This window comes from Homo sapiens, chromosome 4 (genome assembly GCF_000001405.40).
Source record: "Homo sapiens chromosome 4, GRCh38.p14 Primary Assembly".
Lineage (NCBI taxonomy): Eukaryota > Metazoa > Chordata > Mammalia > Primates > Hominidae > Homo > Homo sapiens.
The window spans coordinates 91,043,224-91,068,235 of record NC_000004.12 but is presented as its reverse complement, the minus strand read 5'-3'; the positions used below and the strand labels follow the sequence as shown (position 1 = coordinate 91,068,235).

Sequence of the window (25,012 nt, the reverse complement as noted above, 5' to 3'; positions counted from 1 at the left end):
AATTTAACTGCATTTGCATCATGAATTTCTGAGAATTGGATCCTACTAGGAAATCCATGAACATTGAGAAGAGAATGTTATAACTAATTGAGTATATTTTAGTTCTCCCTATCTGGTAATAACATCTTTCAAAAGTCAGGTGATGCTTTAAATATATAATTGGCTCTCATTAGATTTTCATTCAAACTAGCATTTATTTGTTATAGTAAGGAGAAGCTAATTAAATAAATTCCATGGCTATGTCTAACAAGTTAGCCAGGATGTACCAGTCAAGAAGATAGATTTTGAAATTAAATCTGTATATTAACTTAAATGATATTACTTGGATTCATTCAACATGGAAAAGCTAGTCACTGTTTCTCATGAAACAGCAATCTGACCACTGCTTAGAGGACTAGTTACTCTCTATAGCAGATAACTCATTACAAAAGGTATTCTCTAATATTCATAACTAACTTCAAACCACTTTTTAGCTTTTCCAACCAGGAGCACAGAAACCTGTGAGAAACACTGAGGCTCCTTAGGGACTTCGTTTTTATCTACCTGCTCCACCATCACAAAGGGTGTAATTTACCTTAAAGAAGAAGGATGGGGTGGGTGCAGTGGCTCATACCTGTAATCCCAGCACTGTGGGAGACTGAGGTGGAAGCATCACTTGAGCCCAGGAGTTTGAGACCAACCTAGACAACATAGTGAGACTCAGCCTCTGCAAAAAATAAAAAATTACCCAGGGGTGGTAGGGCAGGCCTGTAGTCCTAGCTACTCAAGAGGCTGAGGAGGGAGGACTGTTTGAACCCAGGAGTTTCAAGCTTGCAGTAAGCTATGATGGCACCACTGCACTTCAGCTTGGGCAACAAAGTGAGAGCCTGTCTCAGCAAAAAAAAAAGAAAAAAAAAAAAGGATGAGACAAACATCTTATTGTACCAGTGTATGTGTCAGCATACACAGTCTTTCCAGTAAAAGTCATTTTACCAATCCACCAGCCTTTATTTTCTGGCTTATTCACTCATTTAACAAGTGTTGTTTTGAGTGCTGACTGTGGGACAGGGCCTATTCTTTTTTTTTTCTTTTTGAGACGTTGTCTGGCTCTGTCGCCCAGGCTGTAGTGCAGTGGCGCGATCTCTGCTCACTGCAAGCTCCGCCTCCCGGGTTCACGCCATTTCCTGCTTTAGCCTCCCAAATAGCTGGGACTACAGGCACCTGCCACCATGCCCGGCTAATTTTTTGTATTTTTAGTAAACACAGGGTTTCACCGTGTTAGCCAGGATGGTTTTGATCTCCTGACCTCGTGATCTGCCCGCCTCAGCCTTCCAAAGTACTGGGATTACAGGTGTGAGCCACCACGCCCAGCGGGACAGGGCCTATTCTATGTGCTGGGTCAAAACAGATAAGGTCTTTCTCCTGCTGCTTACACTCAACTATTCTACAAATAGATCCTTTTATATAAAGACATAGAATGTTAGCATGGAAAAACAGCCTCAGAAATCATTTAGTCCACTCCACTTTATTTTATTGGTGAAAAACTGAAACCTAGAGATAGAGAATATGATTTCTGAAGACTTCCCAGCTAGTTGGTAAAGGTCCCTATTATATATGATGTCAGTATTTGTTCTACTTCTCCAGTTACGCAGAAGAATAATTATCTATTCACACCGGCTTTGGAAAATGTTACTTTCTCCTTATTTTTTCACTATTCTCTGGTTATTCTTTTACTGTGATATGGATGATCTGATTGAGAGTTACACTTTTCAGTTTGCCCTTTACTGAGTCACCTTCCATTTCAAATTTTTTAATTGTTGTCTAACACCATAGGAAAAATCTTGGCTGCGAAGGAGGCCAGGTGAATCCCCAAGGTTTACTGCTCTGTGCTTCATTTCTCCTCTGTCGCTAACTGTGCGACCATTTGGCAACAGTTGACTCACAGCCTTAAGATAATTAGCTTTTTCTGAGAATGGCTTGGATTTTAACAAGGAAAGTATGCAACCTTTGTTTCAAAACTTAATTCTATTATTTATAGAATGTGACCCATTTTGGTGACTGTTTGATATTTTTGAAAATAGTTTACCTAAATAATGTCCTGGAAAAAGCAATCTCCCTGTGTCTGACTTCTTAATTATTTCTAATACCATCTCAAGCACATCTCATTCCAATTGAAAGCAATTAGAAAAACTTGATGGGAATATACAAAATATTACAAGTTAGGTATAAAACGCAAAGAAAATTTTAATTAAATGGATGAATGTTTGATAAAGTAATTGTACACTTCATATAATTTCATTTTTATAGATATAAGTACACTTAGCACTTGGCATTTAGAATAAATTAGTACATATTGAATCAGTGTTTTCCTAACATTTTAATTGTCATATTATTGAAAGAAGTCATATTCAAATATGATTTCTAAAACAATGACTATAAATTTTTCAGTATGATTCGGTGAAAAATTATTTATAATTTCTATACCTGTATGTGTATCAACTAATAGCTGTCCACTGAAGTTGAAAAGTTTTTATTAGTAAATGAAATACTAATCCCCAAGGAATTTGTTTAAACATACCAGAACAACCAGATAAAGTCTTGGTAATTTTTTTATTGTCCTTTATTCTACAGACAATAACACAAAAATTAAATCCATATGGAACATTAAAAAGTAAACAAGTGTTACCACATTATTTCCCAACATTGTATAAATAATTTGCTGCTTAATATCCAATGGGATTTTTTTTGATAGAAAATAGGTGAACAAATCCCTTTGGTATGAATTTCCCAATTCTAACCTTGTATATATCGAATATCAAAAATAATTAATTGTAATAGTATGATATGAATATAACTTTTACCATTATATTAATTATACAATAATGTACATCACTGTTTTGTACAATATTACACCAAATTACGCAATATTTCCCAATATTTTCTATATTCATAGCTTCCTGTATTTGTTCCCAATAACAAGAATATCACTGTACCACCTTTGTCATTGAAATCTTTAAGGATGAAGGATCTCAAATGCCACTTCTTCCTGGAGCTTTCTTAAATCTTCCTAAAAAGAACTCACATTCTCTTTCCTTATACTTCCTTAATCCTTTGGACATGTATTAAAGCATTTAACATGGTCTAAGGCCACTGTGGCTTTAGGTTTACAAAGCACTTTTTTTTTTGTAGTATACTGATGGAACTGTCAAACCTGCCTTAATACATGTGTGTTCCTGAGTTGTATTTCACCATCTTGATTTTTTACTGTACTTACAATATAAGCAAAATCCTGAAAAAAAAAATTGAAAACCTAGGTTTAGAATATCAGGATTATTCTACTGATAACAGAAGATACTTGGTGCTCCTTCTCTTATTGTGATTGTATATCCTGTTTCAAAATTCTGCTGTGTTCCTCTGTCCCCTACGTATTGTCCCTGGAAAATAGAGCAGTTACCACAGGAGGTCTTAAACTACTCTTTAGAAGGGCCTGCTTGCAGGGCTGTTACTTGGCTGGTTTCCAGCAATGTGGCTTTTGAAGTTCCCTACACTGATAAAGCTGTTTTGTTTGCCTGAGGCACTGAATTAGCTGTATCAGCCTGATTTATAGTAAACAGCTGCTTTCCTTCTGGGAGTCTGGAATTTCTATGATTGTGGCTGATCACATAGGCAGAGAGTGCCTGCATGACCAGTCCCCAGGGAAAATCTTGAACTCAGTCAACAGCAGACTCTCCTGGGCAGAAACACTGCATAAGTGTTGCTGTATTTAATTGCCGGAAGAAAGAACACATTCTGTGTGGCCCCTCCTGAGAGAAAGGGTTTTCTGAATGCTGTGCATGAATTCCTCCAGACTTTGCTGGATGTGTCTTTTCTCTTGCTGAGCTTGTTGTGTAGCCTTTCACTGTAATAAGCCATGGCTGACAGTACAATGCCTCTGAGTTATCAGAGGCCCTCTCCACCAGGATTTTTGCAAACATGTGGGTATTCTTGGGACTCATGATATGGGAGAAAACTACTTAGATTCTGTCTTACTACTTCTTTTGGCAATCTTCTTCCAGTCATTGGGAAACCATTATCACAAAAGCTGAATAACCCAATGTTACACAGAAAAAATTAATGTTTCCCTGTATCTTCTAACATTTAATTCCTCTATCAGCAATTCCTACTTGTTCACAGCAATGGCATAGTTTAAACAAGGTTTTGCCTAGTTAAAAGAAGGGAGAGTGAAAGAAAAGATAAGAAAACTATTTTTAAAAAGATTAAGTTATGTTTCAAAAGATAATGTGAGGTAATGTAGTAGAAAGAAAATATTACAGGATTTTATGATCAACTTACTATCCTGACATTTCCCAGACATGAGACCTTAGGGAAATCATTTAATGTCATTGAGAACCAATTCGGAGTATGTAAAATGGAATAATAAAACTTTTCCACCACTCTTGTAAGGATGCTGAGATCAAGTAAATTCAATTGTGCGAAATATAGCTGAACGTTATTATATTTACTTAGGATTTATTTCCATTCTAATTGTAGATTTTAGGCTTAAGCCTAAAGAAACCCAAAGGAAGAATCAGGGAGTGTAGTTCTATTAAATTCCTATATCTCCATGCAAAATTAGAAGTATACCAACCTTCACCCTCACTTTGGGGAATATAAGGAAAATCAAATAAGAAAATGAGTCAAGATAAATAGCAACTGCCTAAGAATAAGAAAATAAATCATAAACATATTTTTAATACACCAGTAAGCCTCTTTAGGGAGCATCTACTTCAACTTAAAACATTTGATTATTACCATGCAAGAATCTCTTTATTTTTCATCCCAAATTTATGTGTTAAAGAATGATGATGACAATAGTAATTGCAATAATCTCTATTAAGTGTGTGTCGTGAGCCAGGCACTAAGCTGCTAATTACATCACATGCCTTATCTCATTTAATCCTATGTGTCAAGTTAGAGATTAGATATTATTATTATCCCATATTTATAGATGAGGCAATGAAACCTTGCAAAGTTGCAACTGGTCTCTATCTAAGCAAGGATTAAGCAAAGTAAGTAGAGGGGCACTGTTTAAGCAAAATTCTTGACTAATACTACAGCATTTTCTTCTTCTCGTCTTTGGTTGGGAACACGAAACTTCAAGATTTTCTATTTTACTTGAATGTAACTTTTCATGACATAGTTAGGTATCTGTTTTTCATTTTAAAATAGTGTATTTTTCATAATATGAATGTGAATATTATTTGATCTCTCAACATAGTCTAATAGAGTACTAAACTGTGCTCAAATAAATCATTGGTTATTCCAGGAATTTTGCTTTTCAGAATTCCCTTGCCATGTCTACATACATTAGTATATGTAAACAACAACAATAAAACAAGGTACAACAATATTAAGGGGTATGTAATATTTCAGAGTCTATACCAGAAATGATATTTGTAGATTGTTTTCTTTTTCTCTTCTTTAGTGAGATGACAAAAAAATCATTTTATTGAAGATAGAGATCTCCAAATGAAGAGTCCAGGACCAGTAGAATAATTTAAGTTTGCTCTTCCATAAACAAATGGCAGAAAAGAGCTTTACATAAATTATTTGTGTTTTGAGGACTAAAATGACAATATTAATCTGCTTGACTTGCAGGTGTGGGTAAGCTCAAGAGAAGGGGAAAGTGTTTTAATGTGGTGTACCTACGAGCTAGTCCAAATCAGCACTCCAGGGACCACCTCATTTCAGGAAAATGTATAGGGACTAAAGAAGGTTAGGACCAAAAGTTGCAATATTAACAGACATAGTCTGAGAAGCCATTGTCTGAAATGAGCCCTGAAGTTGGGTATCACCATCCTTCAGGGACAGAGTGAATCTGTACAATGAGCCAGATCAGCAAGGTAACATCAAGGATCTGTTGGACTCGCATAACTAAGCATGAATGATACACGCTGCAGGATAGAAGGAATCATTAGCAGGGATGCAAGGGGGAGTTTGAGTGTTCCCTCTGCATGGGTGAGGGAATCAAACTGATCCCTTTTAGGGCTATAAACTCTGAAGTAGCTGGAATAATTAATAGGAAGGCAAACTAACCCAGAGTTACTAAACTTTCTGCTAACTGCAGTTAATTTGGGAAAAAGATGAGACAATGTTTGCAGCCTTGTTTTTTTAATGAGTAAATATGGTGTATTTATGTAGTATTTATGTATGCTACACTGACAGTAGAAAACTAGAGAGAGAGAGAGAGCATGCAGAAATGTACTAAGATTGTGGATGGCAAGGATAATAGCTTAAATATTTCCCATAGTAAATTCTGTCCTCAGAAAGAATTGGAGTTACCACCCCACCTAAATACCAACTTCCATATGAAACTAATTACATGAATTTTCTTTGTCTCTACTTAATAACTAAATAATTATCAAATACCATGTTCTAGGGACTTGTCTATGCTGTGCTACATTGAGGAACAAAATAGGCAAAGCCTCTACCCTACCACAGGTGAAAAAAAAATAAATTAACTGCACACAACTTTATTTGCTTATTATTCAAATTATAATAATTGCTATGAAACAGAAGTAGTAGGAGAACCTATCAATCAGTGACACACCTCCATCAACATGAATTAGATCAGAACTGAGGATGAGACTAAATTTGGGCAATCGAGTGAAATGAAGCTTGTTATAGCTTCAGGGAAATTTGAATTTAATCTTAAGTTAGACAGAAAAAAATAAAATAAAATAAAATAAAAACAACACCTTTCTCCTAGCTGGATATTTCTTCAAAGAACTCTAAAGCCAGTATCTCCTGTAGTTATTTCCTTCCCAGCCTAATGACTAGACAAAAAAACCTGGTGGAGAGGGCTGAGAAAAATCTTAGGGAAGTGGACCCAAAGCTGGAGCCACCGGATTAAGTCAGTTTGAAGCTTTCCTCCTCTTTCATGTTAACTAATACATTGCTTTATTATTTATGTAAGTTTCAGTTCTTTTTTTTTTTAATTTGCATTTGAAAGTATCTGAACGGATACAGTATTACATAAGTCATTTAACATCACAATATATTTTTTTCATTTACTATATGATCCCTAAGGATATTAGAAGCTTATTATCGATACTAATGAGATGTTTGTCATTGTATAGCAACCTATAAAGTGCAATACATTTTAAAGTCATTATTTAGGAGTATGAGCATAAAAATAGTATTAAGATTTAAGTTCATTTTCACTAACAATCATGGCTGTGCAAACTAAAATGGTAAAAATATATGTAGGTATTATTTTTTGTGTAGAAGAATTCAGAAATTAAAAATTACCAATTTTACATACGTGTATCAAAAACCAACAATATCACTAAACCTTTTATGAAAACTGGACATTTCAAAACATTTTCACAATGGCTTGGCCAGTGAAAAACAAAGTCCCTGAGAGAATATGTGAAAAACTATGGTCAATAAAGTTGAACATTTTCCTGTTAAAATGAACCAGGTGTTAGCATTTATAAATATTTACACCATTATCAACCCCACTTAAAATGTTGAACTAGGAAATACATTAAGTATCTGGATGAGGACACAGGGCCTAGCATTCAGATTTGGGTACAGAAAACCTAACTTTAGAGAATAGAGCAACTAACTAACCCTGAAGAAGAAGTGCAATATAAAAGACAAGAATAAATGAAGTAGAACAGCTAGGTAGTGGAAAAAGCTGGAGAGGTTAAAAACTTATTCAATGACATTTTGAAAGAACTTGCTTCAGAGAATTTCCCAGTGGACACATAATTCTAATGTCAGGATTGCATTTTTATTCTCATAGTTTTGCAAATGCATTCTTCTACTTTTAAGGGGCATCTTATTTATATTGCTCATTAAATTACCCCAGTTTTGCTCTGGGTAAAGAATATAATTATGTTTTCAAAAATGACTGATTTCAGAAATGACTAGCCAATTCTTCTGTTTATTAAAGCTAAAAATTATCAGTATTTCCTAATAAATGTTTTATTTCTTATTTACTTAGCTACACTTGATAATGTCTAGTGCTTTTCAACCAAATTACATGAAAAGCTATCAGTTTTAACATCATAATAATAGCTAGTTGAATATTTTTATTAACATTTCAATAGTTCATGAGGAATTTTAAAGATACTGAATAAAAGGAGAAATTTTTCAGAGCTAAACAAATGTTAGTAAATTCTCCTGAATCAGATACTGATCCCAACAGGGAGAAAAGGAGTTTGTTATAGGACCATGACTAAAAGACTGATTGAATGATTGCTCAGCAGCCTGACCTATGACAAGAGAATTGATCCTAGAGAAAAAAGCAGTTACTATTTTTGTTGGCATTTCAGCAGTGATAGAGAGGTTTGTGTGAACCTGTCACTACTCAGACTAATGAGGAGATTTTTAGAGGCTGGAAATAGAGGACTTTTTGAAAATCATTGCCCCAAAGCATACAAACATGTTGCAGTATAGTACTGCTCATATCTTGCATAAATGTTTTTGGAAAAAAATGTGCCAAATACAGACTCATGCTAGGTGGAATTAGTTTTTCTAAAAACTAGGAAGTGGTCACATGGTCACAAAAAATGGAAATATGACTGATGGGCTTACAGATTGCTGTAATTACAGATCGCTAGGGTGTTTGTGTGTGTGTGTTTGTGTGTGAGTGTGCCTTTTAGTTATTGACTTCTAAGTTTACTCTTGTCTATCTTGCTTAGATTTTTGTTATACTGGTTTGATTTAAAAACAAAGAATACCATGATAGAAAGAAATTTAGTATTCAAAATCGGGACTGGTATTTTGGAGACTTATATATATATATATATATAACCTTAATAAAGCATACAAATAAAATCTTTTATTAATACAACAAAAACAAACCACAAAATAACCAACACAGGTGTGCATGCGCACACACACACATACACACGTGTATATATACACATATATATACACTATATGTATATATATATACACGTATATATATACACACATTTCAGCTTAATGATGTGGTTCAGAAAAAAAAAACTTTATTATATACAAGCAAGTCAAGAACTAAGGAGATTTTGGAATCTGCTATGAATAATATAGACAGAATATAAACCAAATTAGAATGTGACACAAAATAAAAGTATGTTATCAAGGGTGGTTGTTTAGCAGTCTGAAAATAATACTAAAGTGACATAATATTCTTTCAAATGTCATGATTTTTTTCCTAAAAACTGCATATTACTTTTTACCAGTAGTACAACATTTCTTATTTTTGCGTGGGAAATAGATTTGGTATCTTGTGCTTTGGGGAGAAAAAGACTGTAAGAATTATAGAGTAGGATGCAAATTATGATTGATCAGCCTTCTAAAGTCTTCAGTGCAAATGATGCTTGTGGGTTTGGGAAAGACAATAATTCATACTGGTTAAATATAGAATTGAGCTCATTTCTCAGATCTTCCATAAGAGCTATATAAACCTGAGCAAGTTACTTAAACTTTATAAATTTCAGTTTTCTTATCTATTACATAAAAAAATCAAACTTTAAAGTTTTTCATAAAATAATATAAGTTTAGGGATTCTAAGGCCTTGAGTCAAGGAGGGTTCCAGAAAGGATAACATAAAAATGTGCTTTCTGTGGTTAGAAGACCAGAGAATGAGTAATAGTAGGAGGATAAGACTCCTGAGGATGAAGATGACAAAGTTATTTTTGAGTAAATAATAATGAGAATACAAGATTGGGAATCTGGCCAAAAACAAATGCCATTATGATTACTATTTTTTAAATTAAGAACTTGTTTAGAAATAAGAGATACTTGCCTCAGTGCCAGACCATGGTAGCTATTTAGCAGAAAACATTACAAGAGGGAACATGTTGGTCTATTGAGAAGGTAAATTTTAAGAACATGGGTTTTAGTTTGCTAAGGATAATGGCCTTTAGCTCTACCCATGTCCTTGTAAAGAACATTATCTTGTTGTTTTTTAAAGCTGCATAGTATTCCATGGTGTATGTAATACACCATGTAAAGAGAATATGTACCACATTCTCTTTAGGGAGCCAAATGATGAGAACACATGGACACATAGAGGCAAAAAACACACACTGGAGCTTCTCAGAGGGTGAAGGGTGGGAGAAGGGAGAGGATCAGGAAAAATAACTAACAGGCACTAGGCTTAACACCTGGGTGATGAAATAATCTGTAAAACCCCCATGACACAAGTTTACCTATGTAACAAGCCTGCACTTGTACCTCTGAACTAAAAATAAAAGTTAAATAAAAGGAATCTGGGTTTTGACATAAAGCAGAAAAGAGGGTGCAGATGTTACCATAAGACAGATTTGTCATAAGTGTTACCTTGGCCATTTATTTAATGAGTAATGATGGTAACCTTATATAGGTTTTATGACACTCAATTTACTTGCTAAATTATGCACACAGAACTGTTTGAGGAGTTGGAAAAAAGGAGAAACATACAAATTCACACACATGTATGGTGAAAAAGTAGTCATTCTAATTGCATAAAATGATAATCATTTTATAACCACTCTCATACTGATATTGGCTCTCAACCTGAATCTACCTAAGTTTAAATTTGGAATAGCTCTATGAAATGACAATCCAGAGAGTGGGTAAGCTTGTTCTTAGAGCAAAACTCAACAATTGTCTACACAAACATTAACGAAAGAGCAGCCTTGAGCAAAGAGGAGCTTTTCAAACTCCATTTACTTTTCAATGAAGACTAGAAACAGCTACTTATGATTTCTTTGGTTATAACATTATAACTTCCAAATTATCGTCCAATTATGTTAGCCTCCTTACTGTTTCTCTCATGCTTCTAGCAATAAAAACTGTCAATTTAAAAATAGCAGGGAAGGGAGGATTCTGGAACGACAAAGGGGTGGGGAACACCAGGAATCTTTCAGCCCACCCAGACAACAATTACACTGAGAGAATCTGTCTGATGTAGCTATTTTGGAACTCTGGAGTGTACTGAAGCCTTTTACTTCAAGAGGAAAGCTTGAACCATGAATTTTCATCAATTTCAGCTCTTAACTAGTCAATAGCTACCCATTACCCACCCTCCATTCCTGAGACAGGCAGCTATGCATGTGTTCCTGGAGCAGCTTGCACACAGCTTACAGGAGCCAGGGTGGGCAATAAGGACCTTGTCCTCCAAATATCAGGGATCTTTGTTCTACTTGCTGATTGCTGCTTCTTATCATGGAGGTGCAGACACAGAGGTGAACAGCCATTGTTGTTGTACCTCTCCCTCATAGTTGCAATCCTTTCCTCCTCTGGCTGAAAGGAATTCTTGGTGATTTAAAGGGCTGGCCCATTTTTTCCACCCTTCATTTTTGTCTTTCTCCTTTTGAGAACCACACACTAAAGACAAAGAAATTCAAAAGCAACTACATATGTGAAAGAAATTAGAAAGTCACTACACATGCCCAAAGAAAGACACAGGCTTGGAAGAAATCTAAAAAGGTTTTACTTTACACCTCAGCCTGATCCTTAGCACAAAGACAGCCTAAAACAATAAAACAAAACAAAATATCAAACCCCAGGGAAGGAGCCTAATCTGATTTCCAGAGTTACCACATTATTGGATTTAGACGCACAGTTTTCACAAAAAATTCAACAGGCTTATGCTATGATCTGAATGTCTCCACCCAAATTCATGTGTGGAAAACTTAATACCCAAGACAACAGTGTTGGGAATTAGGGCCTTCTAGGAGGTGTTTAGGTCATACAGACAGAGCATGAATAGATTGATGCTGTTATAAAAGGTCTTGCCAGAGGGAATTTGGTTTCTTTTGCCCTTCCCTCTTTGGACAGGGCAAAGAAAGAAATTGGGTTCCTCCATTCTGGAAGACACAGCGTTCAAGGTGCCATCTTGGAAGCAGAGAGCAGCCCTCACCAGATGCCAGCTATTTGTTCTTGGATTTCTTAGCCTCCAGAACTATGATAAATTATCTTCTTTTTTTTTATAAATTACCCAGTCTCAGGTATTCTGTCATAGAATCACAAAATGGACTAAGATAGCATATAACAAATGGTAAAAATATGGCCTCTCAAAGGAAAAAACAAACCAACAAAAATGGTCCCTGAGAGGAAGCTGATGACAGAGCTACTAAAAAACTGCTTTAAAACTATTACCTTAAAGATGCTCAAAGAACTAAAGACATGAAGAATTTCAGGAAAACTACATGTGAACAAAATGGAAATATCAATAAGGAGATAAAAACTTAAAAAGTAACCAAAGAGAAAATCTGGAGCTGAAAAGTACAATGACAAAAATGAAAAACGCATAAGAGGTATCCAAAGACATGAGCAGCTAAAAGAAAGGATGCATGAATGTGAAGACAGGACCATTGAAATTATTGAGTATGAGGAACAGAAGGAAAAAGATTGAAGAAAAGTGATCAGAGCACAAGGGACCTGTGGATACTATCATGCAGACCAACATATGCACTGAGGAGTTCCAAAAAGAAAGGGAGGGAGGGAGGGAGGGAGAGAGGTATAGAGGGAGAAGGGGAGAGGGGGAGAGGGGCAGAGGGGAAGGGAAAAGAGAATATTCAAAGAAATAAAGGCCAGAAATTTCCCAAATAAGATGAAAGACATGAATATAAACATTCAAGAAGCTCAATGGACTCCAAGTAAGATGAACTCAAGCACACATTGAGACACATTATAATCAAACTATCAAAAGACAAACAGGGAATTTGGCAAGCATAAACAGAGACACAATTTGGCACATCTGAGAGATACTCAATAAGCTTATTTGGAGATCTCTCATCAGAAACTTTGGAGGCCATGCAGCAGTGGGATGATATAGCTAAAATACTGAAAGAAAAACAAGACCTGTAAGCCAAGAATCCTATATCTGGAAAAATTATCCTACATAATTTAAGAGACTAATGCATTAAAAATAAACAACAATTAGTTCATGTTTCGGATACACATGTATTGAAATGTTATTTTGTGATATCAACAACTAAAAAGGATCAAGATATAGATATAAGGGAGCAGAGTTGTTTATGATTGCAATTAAAATGGCATAATTTTAAATTAGAGTTTTATAAGTTTAAAATACTAAGTGTAATCCCCATGGTACCCATAAAGCAAATAGCTATATAATTTTGCTTTAGAAATAAACACAAAAGGGATGAGAAAGGAATAAAAACATTATAAAAAATCAGCTAAACACAAAGAAGACAGTAAGCTAGGAAAGGAAGGACACAAAAGCTATAAGAAATATAGAAAACAAATCACAATATGACAGAAGTAAGTTCTTTTTTATCAGTAAAGTCTTTAAATGTAAATAGATTAAATTCCAAGATAGAATGACAGAGATTGGCAAAATGGGTTGAAAAACAGAATCCAGCTACAGGTTAAGTATCTCAAATTTGAAAATTCTAAATCTGACATGCTCCAAAATCTGAAACTCTTTGAGCACCAACATGCTGTTCAAAGGGAATGCTAATTGGAGCATTCAAATTTTAGATTTCAAAATTTCAGATTAGGGATTAGTAAATACAATGCAAACACTTCCAAATCCACCCCCACCAACCCCACCGCCCCAAAAAAAAATCTCAAATCTGAGATACTGCTTGTCCCAAGCATTTTGGATATGGAATATCCAACCTACACATGCCATCCAAAAGAGACTCACTTTAGATCCCAAAACACAAATAGGTTGAAATAGGTTGAAAGTGAAAGAATGGAAAAGATATTCCATGCAAATAGTAATCAAAAGAGAGCAAGGGTGACTATATTAATAGCTGAACAAACAGACTTTAAATCAAAAAAAGATTAAAAAAGACAAAGAAGGACAGCTTATATTAATAAAAGGCTCAATAAACCAAGAGGATATAACAAAAAATAAATAAAAGATTCCATCTAAATGAAAACTAGGTAAATAATAGAAGAAGTGCTAAGCTGAAAAGATGTTGATTTAACAAAAGAGTACCTGAGCCTTCAAGGTGAATTTGAGCGATTTGATTTCTCTGCTCAATGTCTGAGATTAAATTGGTGCCTGGCCTGGGTCTAGGGTGCTCCCTCACCTCACCCACGTTATGTGAAGCTGTGATTGCGGACAGCTCCAGAGGCAGTGGCAGAGTATAGCTGGCAAGTATATGATGTGGCCAAAGACCAGGACCCTCATCCTACAAGTCTGAGGGCAACCTCTCATATATCTCAAAATCAAGCCTACAAGCCCCCCTATAACCCAGTGATACCACTTGTAGCAATTTATTCAAGGTACACTCATACACATGCAAGAGGATGAATGTATACAGATGTTTATTGCAACACTATGTTATAATGGCAAAGGACTGATCCACATGTCCCTCCATAGGGGACTGGCTTAATACATGGTAGCACATTCATGCTGCAAGAAACTACACATCCAGCTAAAATGAGCAAGACATTACAGTATGAACAGAAAAAGAACAAGACAGTACAAGATGTGTAAATGCATAAAAATTTATAAGATACACTATTAAGTGAACAAAGATGCACAGTAATGCTAAAATTGCATAGAAAGAGGGAAGATGTATTTACATTTAGGCTCACTTATCCATAGAATAGTTCGGGATGTTTCCCAGGAATCCGGACAGTGATTGCATCTGGGGATGGAAACTGGGTGCTTTTTGAATTTTGTAAGATGTAAATAAATTGATAAATTCCCAAGCATGAAGGGAAGTTTAAAATACTCTATCCTCTGGAGGTCTGTGAACATAGGATTGCAAAGTAGTTGGTGGCAGCCAAGAATAGAAAGCTAAATGAACCAAATCTGTGGGACTTAGGAGAGAAAATAAAAAAGGTTAAGTCAGCCTAGGACCAGCCAGGAATACTTAGGTTTAAGGAATATCTGTATTTGTGATACCATGTTCCACCATAGCTTGACAAAACTTGTACAGTCATTGCATGGAATTCTCATTTCAGAATGGGAGGGCAAGGTTCGAGAAGTGTTTCCAACTCATTTTGGTATGTCTAGTTCAAACAAATCCAAGCTGGAAAGAGTTGTCCTGTTGTTGCTCATAGTGACAGCAGGTGTATATAGAAATTTTGTTCATTATAATCTATGGGACTTCATAAGTCTTAGTGAAATTTACAATTAGGAAAAACTTTTAAGAAAGATTATGGTTTTTTCAAGGACATTTTTCCCTAAATTTATTCTCAAACTAATTTTGGTCCAAACTCATTGCAGAAATTGAAAACTATTTTGTTTAGTCATCCTGATCCCACTTCAGCTTGGTGTATTTTCCATCATTTTAGTGGTTTATATATGCTAAACAACCTTACCAGAGGAGAACACCTACATAGCTCAACCACCAATTTACTACACTTTAAATACTTTAAGCTATGTAAACAGGCTATTCTTATCTTATTAAGCTTCATAGGTTTCTTAAATCATGCCCTACATAAAGATGTAATCTCAGGTCTTTTAAGGAGCTTAAAGACTTACCTATCAAAATAATGTTTTTAAATACTGTTTAGAGTAAATCCATTACATCAAAATATGGTATATGTTCATATGGAAAGGAAGAAATGTTAATAGCTATTTTCACAGTATGATATTAGTTATTGATCTCTATCTCTATCCATAGACAGACAGACAGATAGAGATACAGGTTTATGTGAAACAGTACAAAAGTTCCTTTCCTTTAAATATTATCTCTAGAAGTCTCCTGCATCTTTTGCTATCAAAGTATCTAAGAAACAGATTTTAGGTCTTCAAGTGATCCACAACAGGATGCAAAGTGTTCAGTTGAAACCACCTTGTTTCAACTTCCAGATCATAGACGGGATGACATAAAGCTTTATGTCCAAACATAAGTGTAATAAATACAATAGATTATATATTTTTAAAAAGCTTTATGTAAGTTACTATTAAAGAGTAAGTATAGGTTATCAAACAATGATCATGAACCTAATAAGTTTTTCAATTTTATCATATAGTAATTTTCCTTCAGTATAAAATTTCTATCCTGATATCCGAGGCACTCAGCCTGTAGACATAAACCAATAACTTGAGTAGAGAATGGAAAAAGTGTTTTAATCAATTCTGCCATTTTAATCTTTCTAGACACTGATTATATAACGATAGCAAATAAATTATTAAAATTAAGGAGTACATTCCTGTTCTATTCAATGTATGTAAAAAAGGCATTTTTTCCCACAAAAAACTAGGGTTCCATAACAATTATATCAAAAAATTATTTCAAATAATTATCTTGTATTTTCTCATATAAATTTTAAAAAATATTTTAGATAAAGCATGAAGAAAATACAATTGCATGTCTTTTCCTTTGAGCTTACTGCCCTTACTGTGGTAGATTTTTAAGTATGACTATCCAACTATAATATTAATGCAGAAGATGAATGATAAGATATTACTGCTAGTAAGTTGTTTTGCCTGTCTTACATTTGTAAAAACTAGCCTTTGAATATTTGTACACAATGAGCAACATTTATGATATTATGCACAAATTAAAATATTCACTCTATAGTAATGATATAGAATGAATCAAGCAATATTACTTTGTGAATGCACAGGAATCTCTTTGAAAAATGTCCATTCCTCAGAAAACAAACTGCCTGTGTGCCTGCTTCCTTCCTTTCTAGGGTGCATTTTATCCTAGCACAATTTACCCAGCTATGACAATATTAATGGACCATCAATCCATTTTTAGTGTTTTGCCCCTTTAAACAATGCTGAAAATAAATAACTGTACATAAATCTTTAAGCATTGGTTGTTTTGGATTTTTAGGAACAGTTTGAAAGTCAAAGAGTGTTATTTATCTTAATTTTAGTAGATATTTACAATGGTTTTTAAAATTTTGTGAAAACTCACATTTCTAACAGCAATATATGAATTTTTCAAGCATCCCCAATAGCAATTGATGTTACTGATTTTAAAATTATTCTGTTAAATTTAATGGCTATAAAATAATTAATTGTAAATATAACTTACATTCTGACAACTAGTAAATCTGATATTTTTTCATATTCATTTTCCACTTGAATGCGTTTGATTTGTTTTTTGATATAATTTGCATTGGGCTCATTGTCTCCTTGATATTTGGTAATAGTTATTTGAATATTATATGTATTAACCCTCTGTGCTCTGTACTTCAAATACATTTGTCCAAGAACCTCCATTCTCAGAACAGAAATACATGAAGTAACACCTCTAAATCTTGAAGTTTTCCTATTTATGAATGTTGCCCTCTATATATACCCAACACAAAATACTCATATATGGCATGAAATTCCAAAAAAGCACAGAGCTAGAGAATATCAACAGTCAAGGAAAATCCCCATGCTTTTTCCTCCTGTTTGAAAATATTATAAGAAGGGAATAAAATGAGAATAATACAGAGGGTATTCCAAATTTCTTGTCTGTTTTCAACGAGATAGCTATTCAAAATTAGGCAAAGAAACTTGAAAGAAGAGAGTAACAGTCATCTGTGCTATGACACCAAAAGGGAATTAATAGAGACTGGGAAGATAAATCACAAGATACAGTGTTATCTGGACTGGCCTCTGATGCTTTGTCTTCTATTCTAAATTTCTATGATAGTTCTTCAGGCTTCCTTCCAAAGGAAGCAACTGCTCCTGCTCGACTAGTTGAAACAAGACAAAGCTAATTACATTGGCAGAGTGACTTTGCTAAGCAGGGTCTTTGTTCCTTTGTTATCTTAATTTGCATAAATACAAAATTTATGTTATCAATACAATGGATTTGTGACACGGAAAGGCATTATTTCAGTGTAAGTACTATTTTAAATGGAGTTAAACCATTTACACAAAGAAAGCTTATTAAATGGTTTAGTCTATGCATTTTTTTTTTTTTTGAGACAGAGTCTCACTCTATCACCCAGAATGGAGTGCAGTGGCGCAATCTCTGCTCACTGCAACCTGTGCCTCTCAGGTTCAAGAGAGTCTCCTGCCCCAGCCTCCCAAGTAGCGGGGATTACAGGCATCTGCCACCATGCCCGGTTCATTTTTGTATTTTTAATAGAGACAGGGTTTCACCAGATTGGCCAGGCTGACTTCGAACTCCTGACCTCAGGTGATCCGCCCACCTCAGCCTCCCAAAGTGCTGAGACTACAGGCTGGAGCCACCACTCCTGGCCTAGTGTATGCATTTTTAATTTTCAATTGTATACATACAATCCTAAATATGTATATTTATTCACAAATGTGTATATATGAAATACTCTAACTGATTGTGAAAACAACCCCATGAGGTAGGGAAAGCAGAAGATAAAAGCCTAATTTCACAGTGGAAGGAAAATATTGAAGTTTAGAGAAGTAACTATTCTGATTAGGGTCAAGGAACAAATAAGTAGTAGCCTGGGCCAGTGCCCGAGACTTCTGATAACTGATTCTGTGTTCTACCCGTCAAAGATGATCAAGTTATGATAGAAATGTAAAATTGGAAAATCTTTCTAAAATTACAAATGAAGTAATGCTGCCTCTTTAAAAGAAGTATTTCATAAAATTGCATAAAATTGATACTTGTTAATCATCTACCCAGAGTAGGCATTTCTCATTGCAATGATTCAGTGCTAGTTCCTGAGTTCTTTGGGTCATTTGTGCAGAGATGTGATTACATTTAGATTTTCCCACAAAGAATGACACAATTTGATTACTGTTCTCTCACCAGTTTATGTATCTGCCTCAGTTTTGAGATTATCTTTATTTTGTTTAGCTCTTCACTCAGTTAAAAATAATAAACAAAAAATAAGAATGACCACCAAACGTGTTTTTGAAAATGGAAAAATCTTCCTTTTCATATTTGTTGCCCTGTTTCTCCACTAGCTTCAACTAAATTGAGGCTCTGGACTTGAATGGCCATGGCTGAATTCCTGATATCACCATTTGTTGTGTGACACTCAGTAAATTAATTTTTGGCTTCATCATTGGCAAAAATTCACAAGCATGTGACATGTAAAGGATTCAAATAGGTGCATTGAACTGATACAACTAGTTGCATTATTATTCCGAGATCCAATTTCTGTACTACCTCTATTTATTATCATTGTAAAAATTCATGGTTAAATTGTGAAAACTGACTAATACCCTAGAATAAACAAAACATATCTTCATTGCTTATTTTGTTGGCCTTCTCATTTAAAAGTTTATTAAATGGATAAATATTAATTACAGTCACCCCTAGTTAATATGAAGAAAAACAATTATGGTGTTCATGTCTTTACTGTTGTGTGCACCTAAGGTCAATTGTTAGTCTTTTAAAATCATCCTGTAAGTATGTTAAAAGCCTTAAGTATCCCAGACTTTAGTTTAATATTAGAGTCTTATCATTAATAGTTTTTATCTAATCCCTTGTTATGCCAATAATGGATCATTAAGCATGGGATGAACTCGCAGAGAATCATAAGGAAGCCCATTATTTGATCTTTCAATGACTGTAATGCAGTGTGTACTTGAGATTCATTCAGAGAGTTTGGAATGGATAACTATGAAAATTTGCTTCTCTACCAATGTAAGCTTATTTCACAGATGATTTTATTTTGAACTGCCAGTTAATTGTAGAAACACAGAAAGATTTCATCATGAGTAGGGTTTCTGGAAGCCATATGCCGATCATGAGTGAAGGAGTGTGTATAATCATACTCTGCAGAAGGATATCAGATTATTAAATAATGTACATTGTATGTATGAAATTTATTATAAACCTTCTCTCTTATTGTAGCCTGTCCATGGGAATATAGATTCTCTACCATCAGATAATACAAATCATATTTCAGGTGCAATTACCATATTTGAAGTCCCCGTTTTGAAACACTTTTATAAACAAAAACACATTATTTAAAAATTGAATACTGTCTCTTTCACTAAATTGGAAGGGTTTTTTAAAAATTATAGCAAATTGAGGAACAAAAAGTAAAGAAGAAAAATATATTTTTAAATGTCAGAGGAAAAAAATGAAGGGAAGGAAATTTGTTTAGTTGTTATTGATATTTTATTTATGTGTAAATATATGTGTGTATATATAACTATATATAAATCTTATATGATGTCTATTTCATACATAAAATAGTATAGTCACTGCCATCTATCTTGCTAAGTAATTCTGGCAGTTACCTTAATTATTTGGAAGGAAATTAATATTCATGAAATATAATGAAACCTCTTAAATAGCTACACAGTATTTGGCATTATATCATTAATAAAGTATTATATGAGTGATTTTTCAGTTGGGGTGAGTGAATAATAGAATTTTTACTTGTAAGGACTTTTTTTGAGATAGGAGTTTATACGACAATAAATTTATACTCAAAGAACCAGAATAAGAGCTTACCATTTATTAATAAAAATTAACACATACATGTTTATTGCTAAAAGTATGATTTAGATTAATTGAAAAGAAAAAATCATACATTACTTTAAGAAACTTTAAGATTCTTGAGGATTTGAACTTATTTTCTGGCGAATATTTATATATGGCTTAAAAAGAATTTGGTTGCTTCCTCAAAATATGCCTAAATACCTCTTTCACTGGACACCTGCTACGTCTGAAAATGGCCTCTGAGAATAAGAACTAGTGACTTTCCATCAAAAACTGAAATCTCACCCATAATGTCAGTAATGAATCAAATTCAAGTTCATAGAGGTAATCTGAAATCTAAATGACAATACTAATTATAAAGGAGCAGCAGTAGAATCACATACAAAAACCAGAGCCAAGAATTGCAAGTAATCAGAAATGGAATCCAATTGGTAGAAAGTCAGGAGTGAGTGGGAGGGAAAATAGGTAATTTGTCATAAATTTTGCATTAACTTTGTTGTGGTGATCAAGCTGAGTCAAGATATATGGCTTCTTTATTGTGGTAGAGAGATGGAGAGATGGAAGCATTATTTTTCAGGGTTTCACATTATTTATTTTTACATACATATCTAAATAAATAGGTATTGAAAATGGTGAGCTAGAAGCTAAGTGGAAATCATTCTGAGGTGAATATATATGTATGTGTTATACATATGCTTTTGAGAAATATATATATGTGTGTGTGTGTGTATATATATATGCTTTGGATATCAAACTGTGAGAATTATAAAACTGAAAAGTAAGTCAGCTCACTGCAACTCTCACTTCTTAATGGTCCCCAAGATTGTTAAAGCCTCTGCTTTTCCCCATTTCCCAGCATTCCTTGCACTTTGTTGCGAGGGGGTTGGGGGGAATGTAACTGAGTTTTAGTCAGTGGAAATTAGGATGTAAATGATATAAACAACTCTTAGCCTTGACAGTTAAAAACATATCACCCTGTAATCCCAGCACTTTGGGAGGCTGAGGAGGGTAGATCACATGATCAGGAGATCGAGACCATCTTGGCCAACATGCTGAAAGCCTGTCTCTACTAAAATACAAAAAATTAGCTGGGCATGTTTGTTTACATCTGTAGTCCCAGCTACTCGGGAGGCTGAGGCAGGGGAATTGCTTGAACCTGGGAGGTGCGGGTTGTAGTGAGCCGAGATCGTGCCACTGCACTCCAGCCTGGAGACAGAGCAAGACTCCATCTAAAAAAAAAGCTCCCAAAACAAAACAACAACAACAACAACAACAACAAAAAACATATTATCCTCTCCCTCTTGTATCACACAACTTTGGAAGCTATATATCCATTGTCATAACTACAATATGAAAGAGATCTGGTTCATCCATAGTGTGAATGAGAAAGAAACCTTTCTTGTGTGAGTTCAGGAACACAATACTTAGATTTGAATCTTATCATCTAAGTAAAGAAACAATAAAAAAGAAAGTAAATGGTGTTTCAAGAAACTCCAAAACAGAAAGTAGTTCAATTTGAATGATTAAAACTTAAAATTTTTCAATTTAACTTCTGATAATTACTAAAAATAAAAGAAAGCTCTTAGTATTATGAAGCCATAGAAAAGTGTAAGAATTTTCTAAAAATGAAAAACTATACATACATAGAAAAATTAATTGTTACACTTAGAAGACCTCCATCTTAATTATAGACTATAGTAGCTGAATATTAAAGGATGACAACATTAGGTTTGAATTGTAATTAAACATAATCAAACAGTTATTGAAAAAATTTTAGCTAGACTTCTCATCCATTTGCAAGTGTCAGTTTTTATTATTGTCAGGCCTCTGAGCCCAAGCCTGCACATATACATCCAGATGGCCTGAAGCAAGTGAAGAATCACAAAATAAGTGAAAATGGCCGGTTCCTGCCTTAACTGATGACATTACCTTGTGAAATTCCTTCTCCTGGCTCAGAAGCTCCCCCATTGAGCACCTTGTGACCCCTGCCCCTGCCGGCCAGAGAACCCCCTTTGACTGTAATTTTCCATTATCTACCCAAATCCTGTAAAACAGCCCCACCCCTATCTCCCTTTGCTGACTCTCTTTTCTGACTCAGCCCACCTGCACCCAGGTGATTAAAAAGCTTTATTGCTCACACAAAGCCTGTTTGGTGGTCTCTTCACACGGATGCATGTGAAAATTATACCCCAAGATTTTGCATTATTTTTATCTTGTCTAACTATATAATGAAAACAAATTGAAAAGACCCAATATATTAAAAGCTACTTTATAGGAGTTTTAAAAAGAATTATATCTATCAAAGAATCTCATTATAATTGTAGATACTATGGAGGATTATGGAATAGAGATACACCAAATATTTCCATAATAATAATGTTTTATCTGTTTTTATTTTTATGTCATGCAGATTTTTTTCCAGGTGCTCCATGTCTGCAGAATAATGAAGTTTTAATTTGATATTTTATATGAATAAACACTAGTTATTGTTAAGGGATAATGAAGAATTGTGTATGCAGGCAATATCTCTATTGTAAAAACAGAAACCTAATTGTGAAAATGCATAAAATCTACAAAAATATGCCAAATCTTTTCTAAGACACTTGAGATTACATAAAACACAAAGGAATTTTTATTTATTTCATAAAGTATATAACATTAAATCAAGAGAACATTTTCACATATTAATAAATCTATTTTAACAACTAAATTTTTAAAATTTATTCAAGAATTTTACTTGACAGACTTAGAAGTTAAAAAGGATCTGGCTCAGTGACTGCTGCATTTACAAGTGGTAAAATAATTTCAAGATGAGTGTGAATACCCACATAGGTATTTTACCAAAAACTAGAGCTGGTTATTTTCTAGCTATAGGGCACTGTTCTAGGTTTATATGTATAAGATACAACCCTCTGTCTCCCCTGCCTACAACCTAGGCATGTCCAATAAAGAGTAATATAATACATGCTACAGATCAAGAGGTAGAGCCAATAAGTTCTTTTCTGAGCAAGATACTAAAGATTACAAAACAGACAAGACACATAGGCAAGTTTATAAATTAAATGTTGAACTCTTTAATAAAGAAATATCAAGCATTTCGGACAGGGAGAATTATATGCAAGAAAAATAGCACTTATTCATATGATGAACAAAGACTTCTTGATTACTTATTATGTCTCAGGTGCTTTGATGAGATGTACAGGTGGATCTAACCTGGTGAGGTAAAGTAGGGCAGGTTTATCTGAAAAATCTGACAGGGATTGGGAGTAGGTTGGGAGATGAGGTAAAGTAATTCCAGGCAAATAGAAAAACTTGTGTAAAAGGCCCTGAGATGGAGGATATGAGAAACTGATGTGGATGAAATGGATGTGTATGAGAAATTGACAGACCAACCTGAATTAAAATGTATTGGGATAGTGGAGCAGTCTGCACAAAATGAGGCTGGATGAAGGGAAGGCTAGAAACTGCAGGATCATGTAGGTCAAGATAAATCATAGTTAAGTCTTTATTGATTTGTCTATACATGAATTATAAAAGTTGGATAAGTGTAATTATGAACATTTTGTGCGCTGCAAAGCCAAAAATCTGTAGGATTATATTTCCTCCTCTGTAGGCACTGTCATGACTACTATGCTATTCAAAGAATAATATTTCTAAAGTAGATTTCAAATGCTTTCACCTATTTTCTCTGTATATCTTTGAATTGTAGCAATTCTATCATTCATGTTTCTTTCCCGGAGTCCTCCTTTCCAGAAGTCTCTGCCTCCATTATGAATTAGATGGTTTTTAAGGCAAGTGCTGGGATTTTACCTTAGATAGAATTGCATAACCAAATAGTTTCATTTTTGCCCAGACCCCACACACTTTTTCCTTGTTTTATCCTTCATTTCACTAGTGGTTTCTTTAGTAAACATGTGTTGGAGGTAAACACCTGGGTCTTTGTATGTATAAAGTCTTTATTTGACTCACACATTGATAGTTTACATGGGTATAGAATTCTAGATTAGTTATAATATTTCCCCAGAACTTTAACCATCTTGTCCACTGTCTTCTTGAATCCAGCTTTTCCATAAGAAGTCTGAGCCAGGCGTGGTTGCTCACGACTGTCATCCCAGCACTTTGGGAAGCTGAGGAGGGCAGATCACCTGAGGTCAGGGGTTTGAGACTAACCTGGCCAACAGGGCAAAACCCCGTCTCTACTAAAAATAAAATTAGCTGGGCATGGTGGCACATGCCTGTGATCCCAGTTACTCGGGAGGCTGAGGCAGGAGAATCGCATGAACCCGGGAAGTGGAGGTTGCAGTGAGCTGAGATCACACCACTGCACTCCAGCCTCCAGAGACACAGCAAGACTCCGCCTCAAAAAAAAAAAAAAAAAAAAAAAAGAAGGCTGATGCTAGTTAGCGTTATCCTTGTTTTTTTCAGGTGAATAATTTTTCCCTCTTATGGACGCTCTATATGTTTTACTTTCTGCAAATTTAAAATTATATATTTGTATGTGGACTGTGCATTTGGTTGGGCCTATCAATCTGAACACTGTCAATTCTAGGGATAAGAAATGGACCCTGCTGGATTATATTCTGCTTAATTTGTATTATCTCTAATTGCTTCTTTCTCTTTTGTTCTTTCTAGGAGGAGAGTTTTTCACTTTCAACCTTCTAAAGAATAATTTGGGGAGTTTTATTATTGATTTTTAAGATATTTTTTATTTTTCTATGATTATTTTCATAATAACATTTCTTTTT

General features: G+C 34.5%; 1 protein-coding gene across 14 annotated transcripts in view, besides 1 other annotated feature; it reads right to left on the bottom strand.

Moving 5' to 3' along the window:
* Window positions 1-25,012, bottom strand: part of CCSER1 (coiled-coil serine rich protein 1) — a 1,477,902-nt gene that overhangs the window by 537,060 nt on the left and 915,830 nt on the right. The window lies entirely within an intron of this gene.
* Window positions 3,123-3,622: an enhancer, noted in NCBI's record as "NANOG-H3K27ac hESC enhancer chr4:91985765-91986264 (GRCh37/hg19 assembly coordinates)". NCBI's record gives its function as "activates a minimal SCP1, AML or CMV promoter by ChIP-STARR-seq in naive H9 embryonic stem cells {active_cell/tissue: H9 hESC(naive)}" and the evidence as "EXISTENCE:reporter gene assay evidence [ECO:0000049][PMID:30033119]".